The sequence below is a fragment of the Homo sapiens genome, chromosome 2 (assembly GCF_000001405.40).
Source record: "Homo sapiens chromosome 2, GRCh38.p14 Primary Assembly".
Classification (NCBI taxonomy): domain Eukaryota; kingdom Metazoa; phylum Chordata; class Mammalia; order Primates; family Hominidae; genus Homo; species Homo sapiens.
In genome coordinates, this window is record NC_000002.12 from 217,770,505 (window position 1) to 217,791,133 (window position 20,629).

Sequence of the window (20,629 nt, forward strand, 5' to 3'; positions counted from 1 at the left end):
ATTCACAGGTTCCAAAGATTAGGACATGGACGTCTTTGGGGTGGCCATTATTCTGCCTACCACACTTACCAAGTGCAAATGCGGCCAATAATCAGGTAGACAAGATGGCCTATTCAATGGATCTCCATTGACCTCTTTACCCAGACACCCCAGTATTTGCTCAATGGGCTCACTAACAACGTGGCCACAATAGCAGGGATGGAGGTTACACAAGGGCTTGGATTTCCCTTTAAGCTTGATCCAGCTTCCACTATTGCTGAGTACTCAGCTGCAGAGACCAATACTGAGTGCCCAGTACAGTATGTAGCCACCCTATTAGACACCTTCCATCATGGAGGAGGAAGCAATTTACCCTTGCTGGAATAGACATTTCCTGGAATATGCATTTGTCTTCTCTGCCTGTTGTAGTTTGACTAAAAGCAGCATCTATGGACTTTCCGAATACTTGAATTACCCTCCCAATCCCTTGCAACATTGTTTCTGTCCAGGAAAAATAATTTTAAAGCAATGGATGATAGGCTTATTTCTACAGCATACACTTGTCTTATCATGGAACCTCATCATCCCAAAGCAGGTGGAGTAATAGAACAGTGAACAAACCTGTTGAAGGCTCAATCACAGCTCCAATTTGGACTCACTCAACACCTTATGAGAGTTGGGTGTCATTTGCAGCATGCAGTATATACTCAGAACTGGAGACTAATAATATGGTTCTTTTGCTCTCATAGCCGAAAATGTGTGTATTCAGTAACTAAGGGAGAGAAATAGGAGAGGTGCCCCTCACTATTAAACCTAATGGTCCCTTATAAACTTTTTTTCCCATTCACTGGGCTCAGCTGACATCAAGACATAAGTGCCCAAAAGAGAAATTCTTCCCCTAGGTAACTAAAAATGGTTCCACTAAACAAAGAACTAGGAACCTGTTTCTTTTTATGCCACTAATCAACAGATAAAGGCAAAGGGGGACTAAGGTTGCTATATCTTGGGTGGCAGCAGGGGAAAATGTGTCAAGAACCCAAAGGATCCTTTGGAGCATCTTCAGTTATTAGCAAAATGAATAGAACATACAGTGACCCAATAGAGACAGTATTCAAAACCCTCAGGAATAAAGTTTTTGGTCACTTCACCAGATAAATACCAAAATGATTACTACAATCTCGTGACCAGTTAGAGAAATGAGGAATGTAACAGCCACCTATACTCTTAACCTGCGTTATTTTTAAAAAACAAAACAAAATTACTTTTCTGTTTGTTTTTTTTTTTTTCCATTTCCCCACCATTTTCATAGAATGTGTTTTGGTGGATAACTTTATAATGTAATCCATGAGCTACAAAATATCAGTTGGAATTATATAGAAACTAGAGAGGGAAGGCTCATCACCAAGTGATAGTTGTAATTACTGATGGGACTTCAGGTGTCTCATCTGTTTTGGGGAAGATAGTGAGTTTGTTTTTTCTCTATAAGAGAGTATTGTATTATATTAAAAGGGAAAATGTTTTTGTTGTTATCAATGTTGTTTGTCAGTTTAAGCATGGATAAAAGAATATGGTTAGTCCAAGGAATGGAGTTTAATCATTATGGTGGGTTGACACTCAGTCTCCATCCCATCTTCTCTCTAGTATGCTTTTCTGAATGGAAGAACCTAGAAAACTAAGAACTACATTTTCCAGATTCCATTGTAGCTAGAGTTTTAGATGTAATTTATATGCTGCCAACTAGATTCATTCAAGGTTTTTGAAGTCTAACGTGAGGCAAAGGTGGAGGTGACGTTTCTACTGCTTGTGCTGTTTCCTGCTGGCATCCTGTGGAATTGCTGGCTTTTCTGTGGCAACATTAACAGAGGTCCAAGTATCTAGCCACAAGCTTCAGGACTGCTGAGGCAGGGATTGGAGCACCCATCCTGCTGGTCATTTCAGAGCAGCTCTGCATGATTCCAGAGACAGTAGCCATGATGACTTCCTCGTCAAAATAACTCCCTATTCACAGATTGGCATTGTGATTTTTGAGATAGCAGCTCCCTGACTGCGGAAGAGTCACAGGGACTATTTCTGAAATGGTTTCTAAAATCTCAACCTAGAGTCTCTTTTTTCAGTCCTCCTGATAATGTTGAAATCTACTTAATAAATTCCTCTGTCTTGGTCAGTTGGGTGTGCTATAATGAAATACCATAGACTGGGTAGCTTATAACAACAGAAATTTATTTCTCACAGCTCTGGAGGCTAGGAAGTTCAAGATCAAGGCACCAGTAGATTCAGTGTATGGGGAGGGCCCACTTCTTGGTTCACAGACAGTGCCTTCTTCCTGTGTCCTCACATGGTGAAAGGGGCAAGGTAGCTCTCTGGGGCCTCTTTTTGTAAGGGTGCTAAACCCATTAATGAGGGCTCTACCCTCATGACCTAGTCACCACCTGATATGGTTTGGGTTGTATTCCCACCCAAATCTCATGTCAAATTATAATCCCCAATGTTGAAGGAGGAACCTCGTGGGAGTTGATTGGATCATGGGGGCAGATTTCCCCCTTGCTATTCTCTTTGATAGTGAGTGAGTTCTTATGAGATCTGTTTTTTTAAAAGTGTGTAGCACCTCCCTCTTTGCTGTCTTCCTCCTGCTCCAGCCACATAAGACATGCCTGCTCCCCTTCACCTTCCACCATTTGTAAGTTTCCTGAGGCCTCCCCAGCCATGCTTTCTGTACAGCCTGTGGAACTGAATCAATTAAGCCTCTTTTCATTATAAATTATCTAGTTTCAGGTATTTCTTTATAGCAGTGCAAGAACTGACTAATACACCACCCAAAGCCCTCTCCTCCTAGTATCATCCCACTGGGGATTAGATTGCAACCTAGGTATATTGGGAAGACACATTCGGACCGTAACATCTTTCTTCTCAAACTAGCTAGAGTGGGTTTTGCTCTGTACCAAAATCTGGACCATGCAGTTTTGTTCATGTGAACCTGGATATTGATTTTCAGCTTTTAGAATCAACCTATAAATAAATCACCAAAGAGAATATAAAGGCTATTAATTTGACAGTATAAGAGTGATAAAGACTGCTAGTTTTTAACCAAAATTATTTTCCTCTTTTTCCTGGGCACTTGAGTGGACTATATTTCCCAAACTCCCTTGCAATAAAATGTATCCATGTAACTCAGTTCTAGCCAATGAAATGAGAGAGAAGTGACAAGTGCCACTTCCAGGCCTGGTCCATAAACCTCTCCCATGTACCCTGGTCCATGCTCTTTGCCCTTTCCAGCTTGGCAAAAGGCAGATGCTTACCATGGAAACTGCATTGATTTTTGGTTGTATTCATAAAGCTTCCATCAGACTAAATCAATGAATGGCTTGCCAGTGCTGTTTTGTGAGCAATCAGTAAAGTTTTATTGTGTTTGAAACTTGTTTCAGCACCTATTAATAGCCTAATGAATACAGTTTAAGTAAAAGCACACATTAAAAAACATGAATATGAACAGGGAGAGAATAGGTAAAGGAAATGAACCTGAATAGCCTCAAATGTACAAAATGGGGACTCAAGATATATTTTTATAATTTGTGTGCAAGAAATAAAAATATGTTTATATAAAGTTCCTAAAGCAGTAGGTGAAAGGAAGAGCTTAAGTGAGTTAATTCTCATCTGTCACAGCAGGAAATGGCTGGATAATCTCTAAAACTGATCATTAAGGAACAGAAATGTATCATAGAAAAGAGAATCACAAGCAAACAAGACTTTAAAATAGAAAGTTAAAATTCCATCTGAATAATGCGCCTGGGATGAGGAAGCTCCAGATCAGCTTAGTGGGCATGAGATCTGTGCTGCTGCATAGGGCCCTGAACTTAAAGGGCTCCATGTCTAGTTCAATGTTCTGCTATCGACGTTGTGAAATTCTTAATGACTTTGCCTTTGAACTTGTGTTGTCTAAATGAAATCCAGTGGACCAATAGAGCCTGCTTGTGAGCAGATATGCTAAATAAGCTTGTTGGCTAATCCTTGCTGCTTTATGCACATGGAGCTGTTGGCAATGCCACATGAGCACATAATCCAGTGGATGCACAATACTTGAGAATCAAAGGGAGTGCAGGTAAGTGTATAACATCCATGACTAGGCAAACAGGGCACTGATAGCCCTTGTAGGCCAGGCTTTCTATTTGAACCAGAACCTGCTGTGAACTCAGAAAAAGGGAAATGGTGTTCCAAATGACACAAACAACCAAGGAATCCTATCATATTCTTTTTTACTCATGTTATTTTCCTTTGTGAGCCAACCATTTGGGCTAAAAATGATGGCATAGAAGGAAAGGGAGAAGTAGGAAAATCCATTGTTCTTTTTCCTTTTAGTCCTTCCTTACTCATTAGTAAGCTTAAGATAGACATCGTTGGTAGAATGTGTGCATATCAAGAACTAAACTAACACCACTATCATTAGGAAAATGCAAACCAAAACCACAATAAGGTATCATCTCACTCCAGTTAGAATGGCTATTACAAAAAAGACAAGAAATAACAAATGCTGGCAAGAATGCAGGGAAAATGGAACTCATCCATTTTGGTGGGTGGGGATGTAAATTAGTACAGCCATTATGGAAAACAGTTTGAAGGTTTTTCAAAAAATTGAAAATAGAACAGTGACACAAAACAGCAATCCCACTACTGGGTATTTAACCAAAAGAGAGGAAATCAGTATATCAAAGGGATACATGGACCCCCATGTTTATTGCAGCACTATTCAAAGAGCCAAGATATGGAATCATCCTAAGTATTCTTCAAAGGATGCACAGATAAAGAAAATGTGGTGTCTGTATACACAATGGAATACTATTCAGTCATTAAAAATGATGAAATAGTGTCATTTTCAGCAACGTGGATAGAATGGAGGTCATTATGTTAAGTGAAAAAAGCCAGACACAGAAAGACAAATATTGCATGTTCTTACTGATATGTGGAAGCTAAAACATTGATCTCATGGAAGTAGGAAGTAGAATGATAGTTACCAGAGGCTGGGAAAGGTGGGAGTAGAAGAAGAAAAGATGTTATTTAATGGGTACAAACATATCATTACATGGAAGAAATAGGTTATAATTTGATGGCACAGACAGCTAACTATAGTTAATAATAATTTATTGCATATTTCAAAACAGCTAGAAGAGAAGATTTGAAATGTTCCCAACAAAAGAAATAAATGTTTGGGGTGTTGGATATCCTAAATACCCCGACTTAATCATTACACACTGTATGCAGGTATCAAAATATCACATGTACCCCATAAATACAATGGGACTCCAAAAAGCTTATGAGAAAACATGGAATCAAAATATACACTTTATTTCTCCACATAAACTTTACCAAAGTCAAGACACTTTTGTAAGCTATGACACCAGCCATTTAATACATTTCTAAAGAACTGAGGGTCCTGGAAATTTAACCATGTCAATGCAGTCTTTTTACATTATTAAACAGAGAAAAATGGATGCCCTCTACAGATTTTTAAGATTAGGAAACAAAAAGAAGTCAGAAGGGGCCAAATCGGGACTGTAATGTGGATGCCTAATGATTTCTCATCAAAACACTTGCAAAATTGCACTTGTGTAATAAGAAAAATGTCACGGTGGAGAAGAACTCTCTAGTGAAGCCTTCCCAGGGGTTTTCTGCTAAAACTTTGGCTAACTTTCTCAAAACATTCTCATAATAAGCAGATGTTATCACTCCTTGGCCCTCTAGAATGTCAACAAGCAAAATGTCTTGAGCATTCCCAAAACCTGTTGTCGTTACCTTTGCTCTCCACCAGTCTGCTTTCGCTTTGACTGGACCACTTCCACCTCTTGATAGCCATTGCTTTGACTGTGCTTTGTCTTCAGGATCATACTGGTAAAGCCATCTACCAGGATCATACTGGTAAAGCCCTGTTTCATCTCCTGTTACAAGTCTTCAAAGAAATGCTTCAGGATCATGATCCCACTTGTTTAAAATTTCCATTGAATGTTGTGTTCTTATCTGCAGATAATCTGGGCACAAAAGTTTTGGCACCCATCAAGTAGAAAGTTTGCTCGACTTTAATTTTTTAGTCAGAATTACATAAGCTGAACCAGTTGAGATGGCAATGGTGTTGGCTATTGTTTGTGCTGTTAATCATCAGTCCTCTTCAATTAGGGCACAAACAAGATGAATTTTTTCCTCACAAATTGATGTGAATGGTCTGCCTCTACAGGCTTCATCTTCAACATTTTCTTATCCCTTCTTAAAACAAGTTATCCATTTATAAAGTGCCAATTTCTTTGGGGCATTTTCCCCATAAACTTTTTGTAAAGCATCAGTGACTTCACCATTCTTTCACCAAAGCTTCACCAGAAACATATGTTTGTTCTTGCTTTAATTGTAGCAGAATTCATGTTGCCCTGATAGGGGCTCTTGTCAATCTGAGGCCTTATCCTTCTTAGTGCCTCAAGCTAGATCCTGTTTAGACATGCTGTAACTAATTAGTATGAGTTCATTTTGGTACAAAAAAGTTGGAAATTCATGCATCATTTTTTCATAATACACATTTTCCATGAAGTTTTTGAAGTCCCCTCATATGTACAATTACTTTGTACCAGTTAAAAATAAAAAATAAAATAAAATAAAATAAAATAAAAACAGTTGAATTTGTTTGGGTTAGCATTTCCACTGAATGTATGAGCTATAAATAATTGTGTAATTTAAGTGATTTTACTTGTGAGTTAAATATTCTTATATTTACATTTAAAACTGGCATTGCACAATATAAAGACGAATGTTATCATACAAATAATTTTTTTATTTGTACTTAGAATGAAATTGAATACCAATTTTAAAATGCCATGACAACTAGGAAAGAAAGGAAAATGCTTTATATTTTAGTATCTTTAATGGCATTTTTTTCTCCTGGCATTTTACACAAGGGGCCCTGCCTATTCATTTTGCACTGGGACCCGCAAATTAGGTAACCTGTTCTTCAGAGCTTTTTGACTTTCATTACAGCACTTTTATTCAGCATGTGCTCGTATCACTTTAATTATTTTTCAAAATATATGTGCAAGTTTTTAAAAATAAAAATAAAGCTAGACTTTTCTGCTTCTGAGAAAATAGAGCAGATGCACTTTTCCCTATTTCCCCTATTAATTATGACTAAAACTCTGGAATGAATATATACACACACCAAATAAGAAACTCCGAAAGGTGAGAAGAGGGCAGACCCAGTAGGGACTTTAGACCCTAGGAATGACACAGTGGTGACGTCCCTGGATTTTCTTTTTGCCTCATATTCCCAGACTTGGAGCTTAAGAAGCCAGCAACCAGAAACGCCAACTGGTGTCGACACAAATAAAAGTCCCAACAAACCTCTGCTTTCTTTAGCCAAATGATTAATAAATGGGCAGTCTAGAAAGACAAAAAAAAATCCTTGATGATAACTGCTTTACTGTAGCCACACACCACAGAAAAATCTATGGCTCCACTCTCCCACACACCAGCAAGGACTGAATGGGGAGCCTCACCACCCCAAACTACTCCCCCCTAGGGTTTAGTCAGAGAAGGACAAATAGGGAGATGGAACTTTCATCCCCACCTTAACAAGCTCCACCCCCACAGTATCAGAGGAGGCCTTGTGAGAAGCAGTAATAAAGCACCCCTTTCTCTCCCAGGAGGTGTGTGCAGAGGCCCAGTGGGGAGGAAGAATTCCCAATGCCACCCAGTGGTAATGAGGAGTCACCCCCCTAGGTGTCAACAGAAGCTGCATGGGAACCCTGCATTTCTAGCCCTATCTGGCAATAACTGAATGACAACCCCTCTTTCTTCTGCTGGGACAATGTCAGGAAAAGCCAGCTAAAACATACAATTTAAATAAGATCCAGAGTCTCATAATACCCAAAATGTCTTGATTTCAATTTAAAAAATCACTCATCATACCAAAAACCAGGAAAATCTCAAACTGAATGAAAAACATAATCCATAGATGCCAACACCAAAAGATGTTAGAATTATCTGATAAAGGTTTTAGAGTAGCCTTTATAAAAATGCTTCAATGAGCAATTATGAACATATAAAAAATAGAACATCTCAGTAAATAAATAGAAGATGTGAGAAATAGACAAATTGAAATTTTAGAACTGAAAAATATAATAACAAACATTTTAAAACTCAATAGATGGGCTCAGCAGCAGAACAGAGGGGACAGAGGGGAAAAAAATCAGTGAACTGGAAGATAGGATAATAAAAATTACCCAGTGTGAATAATAGAGGGAAAATAGACCTCCCCACCCCACCCCACCCCCGGCAAACAAAAATGAAGGCCGGGCACAGTGGCTCACACCTGTAATCCCAGCACTTTGGGAGGCCAAGGCAGGCAGATCACTTGAGGTCAGGGGTTCGAGACCAGCCTCGTCAACATGGTGAAACACTGTCTCTACTAAAAATACAAAAATTAGTCGGGTGTGGTGGTGAGCACCTGTAATCCCAGCTACTGGGGAGGTTGAGGCACCAGAGTCACTTGAACCCGGGAGGCGGAGGTTGCTGTGAACTGAAATTGCACGACTGCACTCCAGCCTGGGCAACAGAGTGAGACACTGTCTCAAAGAAACAAAAAATTAACAGAGCTTCCAGGGACCTGTGAGACTATAATAAACTATCTGACATTCACGACATTTATGTCATCAGAGGTTCAAAAGAAGAGGTGAAAGAGGGTGAGGCCAAAAAAGTACTTAAAGAAATAATGGCTGACAACTTCCTAATTTTTAGCAAAAACATAAACCTACAGATTCAAGAAGCTGTGAAAACTTCAAATGTAATAAACTCCAAAAACTCTACACCAAGACACATCATAATCAAATTTCTGAAAGCTAAAAACAAACAAAAAATATTACATGGGTAAAACTATTTGAGTGACAGCAGATTTCTCATTAGAAACCACACAGACCAGAAGGAAGTGCCACAATATTTTTCAAGTGCTGAAAGAAAAGAACTAACAGCCCTAAACCATGTACCTAATGACAATATCATTCAGAAATGAAGAAGAAACCAAGACATTCCCGAATGAAGGTGCTGGGGGAAAGCTAATTTGCCTCAGGAGATCTACTCCGAAAGGATAGCTAAAGAAACTTGTCTAGACCGGATATCATAAAAGAATTCTTGGAGCATCAAGAAGGAAGAAAAAACAACAGGAGTAAAAATTATACTTAAATACAATAGACCTTCCTTCTCCTCTTGAGTTTTCCATAGTTGAAGCAAAAATTATACCGCTGTCTAATTTAATTCTCAGTGTATCTGGAGGAAATATTTAAAACAATTATCTTCTAAATGTGGGAAGGTAAAGGGACATAAAGAGAGGAAAAGTTTCTACGTTTCACTCAGACTGGTAAAATGTTGACACCAGTATACTTTTATAAGGCACACATCAATAACATAATATCTACGGCAATCACTTAAAAAGCTATACAAATAGGTGCACTCGAAAACACTGTAGAGAAATAAAAATGTAATTCTAAAAAATGTTAAGTAACCCACAGGAAGGCAGAAAAAAGAAACAGAGGAAGAGAAACAAAGAGAAAACAAAAATTAAAATGACAGACTTAAGCCCTAACATATCAATAATTACATAAATGTAAACCGTCGGCTGGGCACGAAGGCTCACGCCTGTAATCCCAGCACTTTGAGAGGCTGAGGCAGGCAGATTATGAGGTCAGGAGATCGAGACCATCCTGGCTAACATGGTGAAACCCCGTCTCTACTAAAAATACGAGAAATTAGTCAGGTGTGGTGGCACGTGCCTGTAGTCCCAACTACTTGGGAGGCTGAGGCAGGAGAATCACTTCAACCCAGGAGGCGGAGGTTGCAGTGAGCTGAGATTGCACCATTGCACCCCAGCCTTGGTGACAGAGTGAGACTCCACCTCAAAAAAATAAATAAATAAAATGTAAATGATCTAAATACACCAATTAAGAGAGGAAGATTGGCAAAGAGAAATAAAAATGCTGACCCAACTATACGCTGCCAGAAACTCACTTCAAATATAATTATACAGTCAGATTGAAAGTAAATGGATGAAAACATATATATCATACATATAAATATTAATCAGAAAAAGTAGTGGCTATATAATATAAAACAGACTCCAGAACAAAGAAAATTACCAGAAACTGGAAGAGACATTATACAGTGATAAAAAAGTCAATCTACCAAAAAGACCTAGCAATCCTAAGTGTACAAGCACCAAACAACAGACTTGCAAAATATGTAAAGCAAAAACTCATAGAATTAAAAATAAATAGAAAAGTCCACAATTATAGTTGGAAACTTTAATGCTCCTCTCTCAACGATTAATAGAAAAACTAGACAGCAAATAAGCAAGAATATAGAATAACGCAACTGCATATTCACCAAGAAGATCTAATCAACATTTATGGAACACTGCACGCAACAACAGCAAAATACTCTTTTGTTTTCAAATGTTCACAAAACAAGGTAGACCACATCCTGGACCATTAAAAAAAAAAAAAAAAAACTTCAATAGATTTTTAAGACTTGAAATTATACAGAGTGTATTTTCTAGCCACGATGGAATCAAACCAGAAATCAATAACATAAAGACAACAGGAAAATGTCCAAACACTTGAAAACTAAACAACATTCTTCTAAACAGCCCATGAGTCAAAGAAAAAGTATCAAGGGAAATTAAAATATATATTTAACTAAATTAAAATGAAAATATAATGTCAAATTTTGTGGAAACAACTAAAAGACTGCTGAGAGGAAAATTTACAGCACTAAAAACATACATTAGAAAACAGGAAAAGTCTCAGATAATAATCTAAGCACCTACCTTGAGAATCCAGGAAGAAAAAGAGCAAAATAAACCCAAAATAATCAAAATTAAAAAAAAGATGTCAGCAGAAATCAATGAAGCAAAAAACAGAAAATCAATGAAATAAATATTAAATTATTTGAAAAGATCAATACGATTGACAAAATTCTAGCAGGACTGACAAAAAGAGAGAGAAGACATGAATTATCAATATCAGAAATTAAACAGGGAATATCATCAGAGACTCTGCAGACATCAAAAAGATAATAAGGAAATACTATGAACTCTACACATATAAATTTGACAACTTACATCAAATGGGCCAATTCCTTGAAAAACACAAACTACCACAATTCAACCAATCCTGAAAGATTACCGTATGATTCCAGTTATATAATGTTCTTGAAATGACAAAATTGTAGAAATGGAGAACAAATTAGTAGTGGCCATAGATTAAGGAGGGTGTAGAAGTAGGAGAAAAGTGGGCAAAGTTATAAAAGAGCAACAAAAAGGATACTCGTGGTGATGGAACTATTCTATACCTCAGCTGTATCAATGTAATTATCCTGGTTGTGTTATTGTACTACAGTTTTGCAAGATGCTACCACTGGGGAAAACTGAGTAAAGGATACATGAGATTTCTCTGTATTATTTATTGCAGCTACATGTGAATCTACGATATCTCAAAATAAAAAGTTTAACTTAAAAATAAATAGGCCAGGCACAGTGCTCATGCCTGTAATCCTACCACTTTGGGAGGCCAAGATAGCCGGATCACTTGAGGTCAGCAGTTCGAGACCAGCCTGGCCAACATGATGAAACCTCATCTCTACTAAAAATACAAAAATTAGCCAGGCATGGTGGCACGTGCCTGTAGTCCCAGCTGCTTGGGAGGCTGAGGCAGAAGAATCGCTTGAACCTGGGAGGCAGAGATTGCAGTGAGCCGAGATTGTGCCACTGCACTTCAGCCTGGGTGACAGAGCAATTGTCTATCTCAAAATAAATAAACAAAATAAAATAAAGCCAATTCAAGAATGCAGGTGGAGGGGATAAAAAGAGGTAAAAGGAAAAATCAATGCCTGGTTTTTGATACATAATTTCAAAAGAAATCAAGAAAGAGTATATAGAGTTGAATGAACAAGAAATAGAGGTCCACATGCAAAATTTCAAATGAAAAAAATAGCCAACTATTCTTACCATCAAAAAATTCCAGGAGGTTGTGAGTCGGGAGGATCGCTTGAGCCCAGGAGTTTGAGGCTGCAGTGAACTATGATCACACTACTGCACTCCAGTCTTGATGATAGAGCAAGACCCTGTCTCAAAAAAAAAAAAAAAAAAGACTTTCATATTTTTATTCTTTAAATTAGGAGGAAGAGTTAAAGTAATATAAGGAAGCTAAATTATTTTCTTTTACTACAAGGGTTCAAAAGCTAATTTTATATATAAATTACATATATCTTAGCTAAGACATATCATGTATGTGTCTTAGCCTATTAGTTAGATTAGACCAGTAATTCCCAATGAACTAAAACCAGAAAAAAAAAACTAAAAAAGATTGCCTTGATTTTTATTTTCAGTACTTTCAGCAGACTAAGTATTTGAATTGGCTCTCCTGCTTAATAGAATAAGAAAAGCTATATAACATTTTTCATCAACTTGAAGATATTTAGGTTGCTATCAAAACAGTGAAAAATGAGGACACCAAGATCCAGGAGGGGATCAAAGAGGTGAGCCTGGCATTTGGATCTGATTTTCTCCAGATGCATCAGCCCATTCTGGGAGACAGAAGTGGTGGACTGAGAAGCTGAGCATATTTTTTCTTTTAGGGGAGGGGGTTGGTTTTTTTACTACTTGGTGTTCTCTGAGCTTCTGGAACCTGTGGTGTGCTATCTGTTGCTAATTTGGGGAAATTCTTGACTATAATTTGTCCAAGTTCTCCCTCCTTTTCTCTTCCCTCCCCTCCCCTTTCCCTCTCTCTCATCTTCTGGGATTCCAATTACACATATGTTAGCCCACTGATATTATCCTACAGTTCTTAGATGCTTTGTTCTGTTTTTTCACAATTTATTGCCCTTTGTGTTTCAGTTTGAATAATTTCTACTACACTGTCATCAAGTTTACTGATTCTTCTCTCAGCTATGTTGAGTCTACTGACAAGCCCATCAAAGGCATTCTTCATTTCTGTTACTGTGTTTTCTATTTCTAGCATTTTTATTTGATTTTTCTAGTAGTTTCCATCTCTCTTTTGAAATTACCCATCTGATTATCCATGAAACAAAGTGGATTAATTTCAAAAACATATTGCTAAGTGAAAGTAAGCCAAACTGGAAATACTACATACTTAATGATTTCATTCACATGACATTCTGGAAAAGGCAAAACTATAAAGACAGAAAACATATCACTAGTTACTAGTTACTAAAGGAGGCAGGAGTGGATTGGCTACAAACAGGAATAAGGGAACTTTGGGGTGGTAAAATATATATTTTTATTAAACAAATGTATATACTAATAAAAATTTATAGACTGTACACTTAAAATGGTGAAATTTTACTGTATGCAAATTACATGTCAACAAACCTTATTTTGAAAAAAATAAAATGATAAAAATAAAATAAAGCCCTGCCATTACACATACTCCAGAAGAGATAAATTTTTTAAACTGGCCACACTAAGTGTTGTGAAGATATAGAACAATGAGAATCCTCTTACACTATTGGAGGATTGTAGATTCCTACGAGAACTTTGGGAAATTATTTGACAATATCAACTAAAATTGAACATATGCACGCCCCATGACCCCGCCATTCCCTTACTAGGATTATACCCAAAGCAAAATTCACAAAAATGAATGCCAAGAGACAAGTACAAAACTGTTTATAAGCCCTGATTCATCATAGCCAAAAACTGGAAACAGTCGCATATAATTGATAATTCAATGCACTCTACATTTCTATATACTAGTGTCGTATGCACTTTTCTAAACACATTTTGTGCTTGTTTTATACTTTATAAAAACGTATTCCATAGTTAAGTATGCAACGCCTTTCATGCTTGGCCCCTGCCCACCTCCACAGCCTAATTTCCTGTCCTATACAGTCTCATTCAGACAGACCATAGCCCCTCCCTCATTCTCCACGCCTTGGCACATTCTGTTCACACTATCTGGATAGTCTGCCATGTGTCCAACTTTGAAAATCGTCTTCCTCTACGTAGCAATCTTCATCTTCACTTCAAAGCCTAAATCAGATATTATCTCTTTCCAGATGCCTTCGTTGAACTCCCACTCCATACAACCTTCCCCCAACAAGGCTGCATTAGGTACTTCTAACTTAATTCCTCATAACACCCTATGCTTTAGGTCAGAGTTTATCAACCTCATCACTTTTGACATTTTGGGGTCAGATAATTCTTGATGTGAGGGGCTGTCTTGTGCATTTTTAGGAATTTTTTTTTGCATTCTCACCTTCTACTCAGTAGATGCCCATATTATGCCCCCTCCCCACCCCACACTGTGACAAATGGTCTCTGAGCAGCAAAACCACCTCTGGTTGAGAAGCACTGTTCTGGGGCTTTGGAGGAGGCTTCCTGTGCCTGAGTTCAGAAACAATTGAGATATCAGCCAAAAGTCAGGGAGATGAAAATCAAAACGTTAGTGATAGAGCTGAGTGGAGAATGTGGCTCTACCCTCCCATCCCGGAGACAAACGGTGCAGGATGACCAAGGGCCCCCACACAGGCAGGCCCCTCGGGGGTGGCAGAGAGGAGACTGGGATGCCAACGTCCTGGGTAGGGGCTGGCTGAGGGAAGGGGCAGATGGAAGGAGCTAGCCGATTTGCTGGATTTTTCCTTCCAACTCCCCAGCCCGACATGAAAAAGATGGTGCCGGGTGAGGAGAGAGGCCGGGGGATTACTCAAGAATCCTTCCAGAGGGAAAAAATGACGATGGCCCTAACACCGTGCCTCCGTCACAGCATTGGGGACATCATTGTTCCTGGCCTCTTGTCTGTCTCCTGCATGGACATGGAGGGTATGGACTGTGTCCTGTTCATCCCTGCATCCCCAGGGCTGGTCCAGGGCCTGGCTTGAGCTGGGAGTTCACTACATGTCCTTTCATTCTTCTAGTCCCCACCATTGCTGCTATTGCAGTGTGCCTGGGACCCTTAGAGCCCCACAGTATCTCCGGAGAAAGCCATCCCTCTGCCTCCTGTGTCCCCGGCTCAGGGACATCGCTCACCAAGGGAGCCTGATACGTGAAAGAAGTTCAAATGTTCTATCAACTGGGAAGGCCTGCGGCAGCAATGGGCACTTCCTCTGCACCACAGCCATCCGACCACAAGAGGGCGACATCCCCCTTCCAATGCCTCTACAGCCGCCATCCCTAAAACCAACAGCTCGACCCAGGACCAGAGCGGACATACGAAGGAGGTGGACCCCCTACTCCCCTTTCTAAAGGAAGGAGGGGGCCCTGCACTAGGTGATTGGCCTCATGGGCCACAGCTGGGCATCTGGCTGACTCAAGTTCTAGGCTTCTCCTTCCCCCAACCCGTCCCCTCGAGGTTCTCTCCTATTGAGCTAGGGACATCCCCAGCCTCTCCAGAGCCAGTGAGGTGACCACTCCCTGGTGCTATCCTGGGGGCTCCACCAGCCCTGGGCTGATCAGGAAGGCCCCATGCTGGCCCTCAGCTTCCCACCATCCCCACTTCTAAGTGGTGCTGCTACCTCTCAGGTCCTGCTTCCCTGTGCAGCCTGGATTCCTCCCAATGCAGCCCTTGTCCAGCTTCGTCTGCCTCTTGGGGGACTGTCCTAGACTCTCTGTCACTGGATCTTTGGACCAGCCAATACTATCAGTTGCCTCACCTGCTAAGGGCACAGTGAGACAGCTGGTCACCAGGATGTCACGGGCCCTGAGCCTCTTCTCTCTAAGGCCTGTCCTTGCTACCCCTCCTCTTGTCCCACTCTTCTCTGATCTCAATGACTTCTGCCATTGTGTACAAAATTGGTGGGTTCTTGGTACACTTGAAGCCGCAGACCCTAGCGGTGAGTGTTACACTTCTTAAACATGGTGTGTCCAGAGTTTGTTCCTTCTGATGTTCAGATGTGTCCTGAGTTTCTTCCAACTGGTGGGTTCGTGGTCTCACTGGCTTCAGAAGTGAAGCTGCAGACTTTTGCAGTGAGTGTTACAGTTCTTAAAGGCGGCGCATCTGGAGTTGTTCCTCCCTCCCGATGGGTTCATGGTCTCGCTGGCTTCAGGAGTGAAGCTGCAGACCTTCACAGTGGGTGTTACAGCTTATAAACGCGGTGCGGACTCAAAGAGTGAGCAGCAGCAAGATTTAGTGCAAAGAGCGAAAGAACAAAGCTTCCACAGTGTGGAAGCAGAGAGCGGGTTGCTGCTGCTGGCTAGGGCAGCCTGTTTTTATTCCCTTATCTGACCACCCCTCACCTACATCCTGCTGATTGGCCCATTTTACAGAGAGCTGATTGGTCCATTTTGACAGGGTGCTGATTGGTGCATTTACAATCCCTGAGCTAGACACAGAGTGCTGATTGGTGCATTTACAATCCTCTAGCTAGAAGTAAAAGTTCTCCAAGTCCCCACTAGATTAGCTAGACACAGCACTGATTGGTGCCTTTACAAACCTTGAGCTAGACACAGAGTGCTGATTGGTGTGTTTACAAACCTTGAGCTAGACAGAGTACTGATTGGTGTATTTATAATCCTTTAGCTAGACATAAAAGTTCTCCAAGTCCCCACCAGATAAGCTAGATACAGAGTGCTGATTGGTGCATCCACAAACCCTGAGCAAGGCACAGAGTGCTGATTGGTGCATATACAATCCTCCAGCTAGACATAAAAGTTCTCCAAGTCCCCACCTGACTCAGAAGCCCAGCTGGCTTCCCCTAGTGAATGCCGTGCCTGTGGGCAAAGCTGCCTGCCAGTCCCGTGCCCCACACCTGCACGCCTCAGTCCTTGGGCGGTCGATGGGACCGGGCACCACGGAGCAGGGGGCGGTGCCCGTCGGGGAGGCTTGGGCCCGGTGGGAGCGCAGGGAGGACGGGGGAGGCTCAGGCATGGTGGGCTGCAGGTCCCGAGCCCTGCCCCTCGGGGAGGCAGCTGAGACCCCGCGAGAATTGGAGCACAACACGGGCAGGCCAGCAGTGCTGGGGGACCCAGCGCACCCTCTGCAGCTGCTGGCCCAGGTGCTAAGCCCCCCACTGCCCAGGGCCAGCGGCACTGGCTGGTCGCTCCGAGTGCGGGCCCCCGCCCACCCAGAACTCACGCTGGCTCGCAAGCACAGCGCGCAGCCCTGGTTCCTGCCCGCGCCTCTCTCTCCACACCTCCCCACAAGCAGAGGGAGCCGGCTGCAGCCTTGGCCAGCCCAGAGTGGGGCTCCCACAGTGCAGGGGCAGGCTGAAGGGCTCCTCAAGCGCGGCCAGAGTGGGCGCCGAGGCCAAGGAGGTGCTGAGAGGGAGCGAGGGCTGCTAGCACGTTGTCACCTCTCACCATCTCAAGACCTGGACCCCAGCATGCTCCTACCCCCACACTATCTACACCATTCTGGATAAGCCCAAAGTCTTTGGAAGCAGATAGAGATGGATTTGAATCCTTATGCAGCACTTACTAACAGAGTTGTTACTTACCTTCTCCGAGCCTTGGTTTTCTAATCTGTGAAATGGGAGTGATCACGGCCACCATTTTGAGTTTTTTGTAAGTGACATCCTGTGCATCTCATGCAGGGCCCAACAGTATCATAGACAGCCAGTAAATGTTACTTGCCTCCCACCATGTCACATGAGCACTGTGCTCGGCATTCTATACACAGAATTGTGAATATCCACATAACTTTGTCAGCTAGTTATTACTGGCCCATTTTATAGACGAAGAAACTGAGGCAACAAGAGGTCAAATAATTTGTCCGGGATCACATAAGTGAGAAACTAGCAAAGCTGACACTTGGGCCCATATTGGATGGATGTGAAGGCAAATCCTGCTCTGCCTGGGCACTCTGCCCCCATGTTCTGCCTGCAGGTAAAAGAGAGTGTTTTACTGTCCTTGTTTTCTAATAGGCTTCTCAGTGCTTTGATCCTACCTCTGCAGAAGCACCCACTACCACTCCTTTTAGGGAAAAGAGGACTATTTACTTTTTAATTTTACTTTCAATCAGTCAGATTCAGTTCCACGTTCATAGAGACTTGGGGTAGTTCAGTGAAATCAGAGCCTGGGTGTCCTTGGAGAAAGGTTGATGTTCATGCTCACTCTTTTTGTGGGGGTCATTGACTCTGAAAAAGAGGGAAGTCTAATAACTGAGTCTGGGAAATAAAGATGCCTGCATTTCAGGTTCTCTGACCCAGATCCCGGAGGATGGGGAGCAGCTGTTTCCATCTCCGCAGGTGCTAGAACCTCTAGGAATGTAGTCACTTGGAAGGGGAGAAGCAAGAGTGAGTGGAATAGAACTTCCAGAGGTCAAATCACCCGAAAGGTCCAGTGGAGCTGAACACTGCACCGTCTGCCACAGGAGAGGCGCTCACCTGCCCTGCCAAGCAGCAGGCCGGCTGCAGGGGAATGGACAGGTTGGCCTTGCAGACTCAGCGAGCAAGCACTAGGGCATGGGCTATGCAGGGCTGTGAGAGGGCAGCCCAGAGACACCCAGGTCCCAAAGGCCCAAAGAACGGGACATGGGGGTTTTGAGAGGGGAAGGATCTTGCCTAGGCCCCGTTGTGTCCAGTGCCCCTTCTGCTGAGCCACACCCTGGAGCCCTGGAGCTCTCTGGCTCCTGCCACTGCTGACTGCCTGAGTGGTGGTCATTGAGAAATGATTGAGAAAATCTGGGCCAGGTCCAATCCGCCACGAGGGATGATTGATAATGGGAACAGAGACTGTGGGTCTCCGTCCTCACCGCTGTACTGAAGCTTTTAATAATCAGCCTGTCTCTAAGTACCTGAAGACTCTCGGCTTCCAGCTGTCTATTAATTGTGCCTCTCAGGCCCTTGGACAGTTGATTCAGCCTACTGCCCACTGTGACCGCTTCCAGGAAAGGCAATGAGTGGCTGCGGTTCCCAAGTTGGCCACTAGAGGGAGCCGTAGCCCGTGGCAGCTCTGCCTTAACTGGCGGGGGAGAAGAAAACCAAAGGGTCACAGAATCCCTGCCTGTATGGACATCCCAAAGTCCTCCCTTAGCTCTCCCCAGTCCAAGTTTAGGCCCCTCCTGTTTTCAGAAGTTCTTGAAAAGGGAGGTCCATCCTCCCCTGAGGACCACTGGCAGCAGCTCCTGCCGAAACCCTGCCTACAGGTGCCTCAGCGGGGTGGGGCCTTGGGGGAGGCTGCCTGGGAGACAGAAGGCAGATGAGATGGGAAACGGAGGGACAGAGAGGAGGGAAGGCAGAGGGCAAATGCAGACAGGATGGGCTGGAAGGGAGGAGGCGCTGAAAAGGGAGACGGGGGAGACTGGAAACAGGAGAGAGGAGACCCCAAGGGGGAAACCTCGAACTCAGCCTCCCCCACCTGCCCTTCCTGCCGGTCCCAAATACTCATCCAGAGGAGGGCCCGACTCCCTCCCTCCAGTGTCTGCTGTTGCTCCCGGCCTGCCCTGTTTACCTGGCCAGCCACGGTCTCCCAAACACCAATCCAGGATTTGGGGTTATTAGAGGCTGGGGAGGGTGAGATCCTGGAGCAGGAATCGGAGAAGAGGAAGCGCAGTGAGACGGCTGTAACCCAGCACCAGGCACACACAGAACGCTGACGCTGCCCTGAATTCCACCCAGCTGCGGCTCTCACCTGATCTCCACCTCTCTTATATCTGCTTGGGATAGAGTTCAGCTGTTTTTAGTCATCTGAAGGACTGTCATTCACAGAAGGCTTCTCCTTCCCCGGCTGACACCTGCTGATACTGCAGCAGGAATGATCCAGGTTAGGTATCAGAAGCTCCTTCCAAAAGGCTGCCCCAGGAGGGGGCTTCAGCTTTCTGGGACACATCTCCTTCCTTCCTGGCCTCTGTCCTCGCCATCCTGACGTCTACGCAGGAGAAACCTTGGCCAAAGTGACTAACGGAAGCAAAGAGTAAAGCCCAGGAAAACACGTCGATTGGGGTGGGTGGGGGTCAAGGTCTTCCGAGCTGTCTATACTTGCTGTGTCTCTACTTCCTATTCACTCATCAGTTCACCAACTCTACAAATCTCGTGAGACTTTCATGAGCCTGACGCTGTGCTAAGCCACTTCCTCAGCCTCCTGCCCCCTACTGATGCTGTCGCTCTTTTCCCAAAGAAAAGGACAAGGATGATTTCTTTGTGGCCAAATTCAGTGTCCTTCTTCTGGGGCTCACTAACTTTGATCCTAAGGTGGTGGCTGGACTGTTGACCAGCCATTCTTTCCTTCTAGAAAAGAAGAAAAGCTCCTTTCCCCATCAAAACACCACCCCTTCTAGGTCCTCCTCCTTCCTCTCTGAGACCTCTGTCTTCTTCACAGGACCTTCTCCTCCTCTCCTTCCCTTCTCCTTACACAGCAATGTTCCCCTGCTTCCACCCACGACTCTCCTCTGTCTACAGTACCTCTGTGTCAGGATGACTCACAGCCTGCAAAGGCACAGCAATATTCCTATGTCTCTATTTTCTACATCACACAACCCTCTCTGCAGCACTAGCAAGAAACTTTAGGTTGTATCTAACACTTGGAGCTTAGATAGCACCAAGGCCTGGAGACAGGCCCACCTGGTCATCCAGTCTGTTGTCCTCAGAGATGTCCACCGTCTAGTCTGGGTGGCCCTGTGAGTTAAGCTGCTCTTTCTGCAGTCTCTAGACTCCACACATGGAGCATAGAAAGCTCTGCCCT

The 20,629-nt window shown here is 42.8% G+C and overlaps 1 long non-coding RNA gene across 4 annotated transcripts in view, besides 2 other annotated features; it reads right to left on the reverse strand.

The window, feature by feature from the left end:
• DIRC3 (disrupted in renal carcinoma 3) overlaps window positions 1–19,939 on the reverse strand; it is a 506,425-nt gene extending 486,486 nt beyond the window's left edge. For 3 of the 4 annotated variants that reach the window (NR_186298.1, NR_186301.1, NR_186296.1), the window contains exons 1-2: window positions 19,580–19,939; window positions 12,002–12,117 (exon numbers count right to left, since the gene is read on the reverse strand). This is a non-coding gene — a long non-coding RNA (disrupted in renal carcinoma 3). Of the gene's footprint in view, window positions 1–12,001; window positions 12,118–19,399; window positions 19,470–19,579 lie in introns of all 4 variants that reach the window. The other variant, NR_186293.1, reaches the window with a different exon arrangement.
• Window positions 14,942–15,236: an enhancer, noted in NCBI's record as "tiled region #7557; HepG2 Activating DNase unmatched - State 4:PromP, and K562 Activating DNase unmatched - State 12:CtcfO". NCBI's record gives its function as "activates a minimal TATA promoter and a strong SV40 promoter by Sharpr-MPRA in HepG2 and K562 cells {active_cell/tissue: HepG2 | K562}" and the evidence as "EXISTENCE:reporter gene assay evidence [ECO:0000049][PMID:27701403]".
• Window positions 15,062–15,111: an enhancer, noted in NCBI's record as "active region_17107". NCBI's record gives its function as "activates an Ori minimal core promoter by ATAC-STARR-seq in GM12878 lymphoblastoid cells {active_cell/tissue: GM12878}" and the evidence as "EXISTENCE:reporter gene assay evidence [ECO:0000049][PMID:35858748]".
• Window positions 19,940–20,629: the final 690 nt, after the last annotated feature.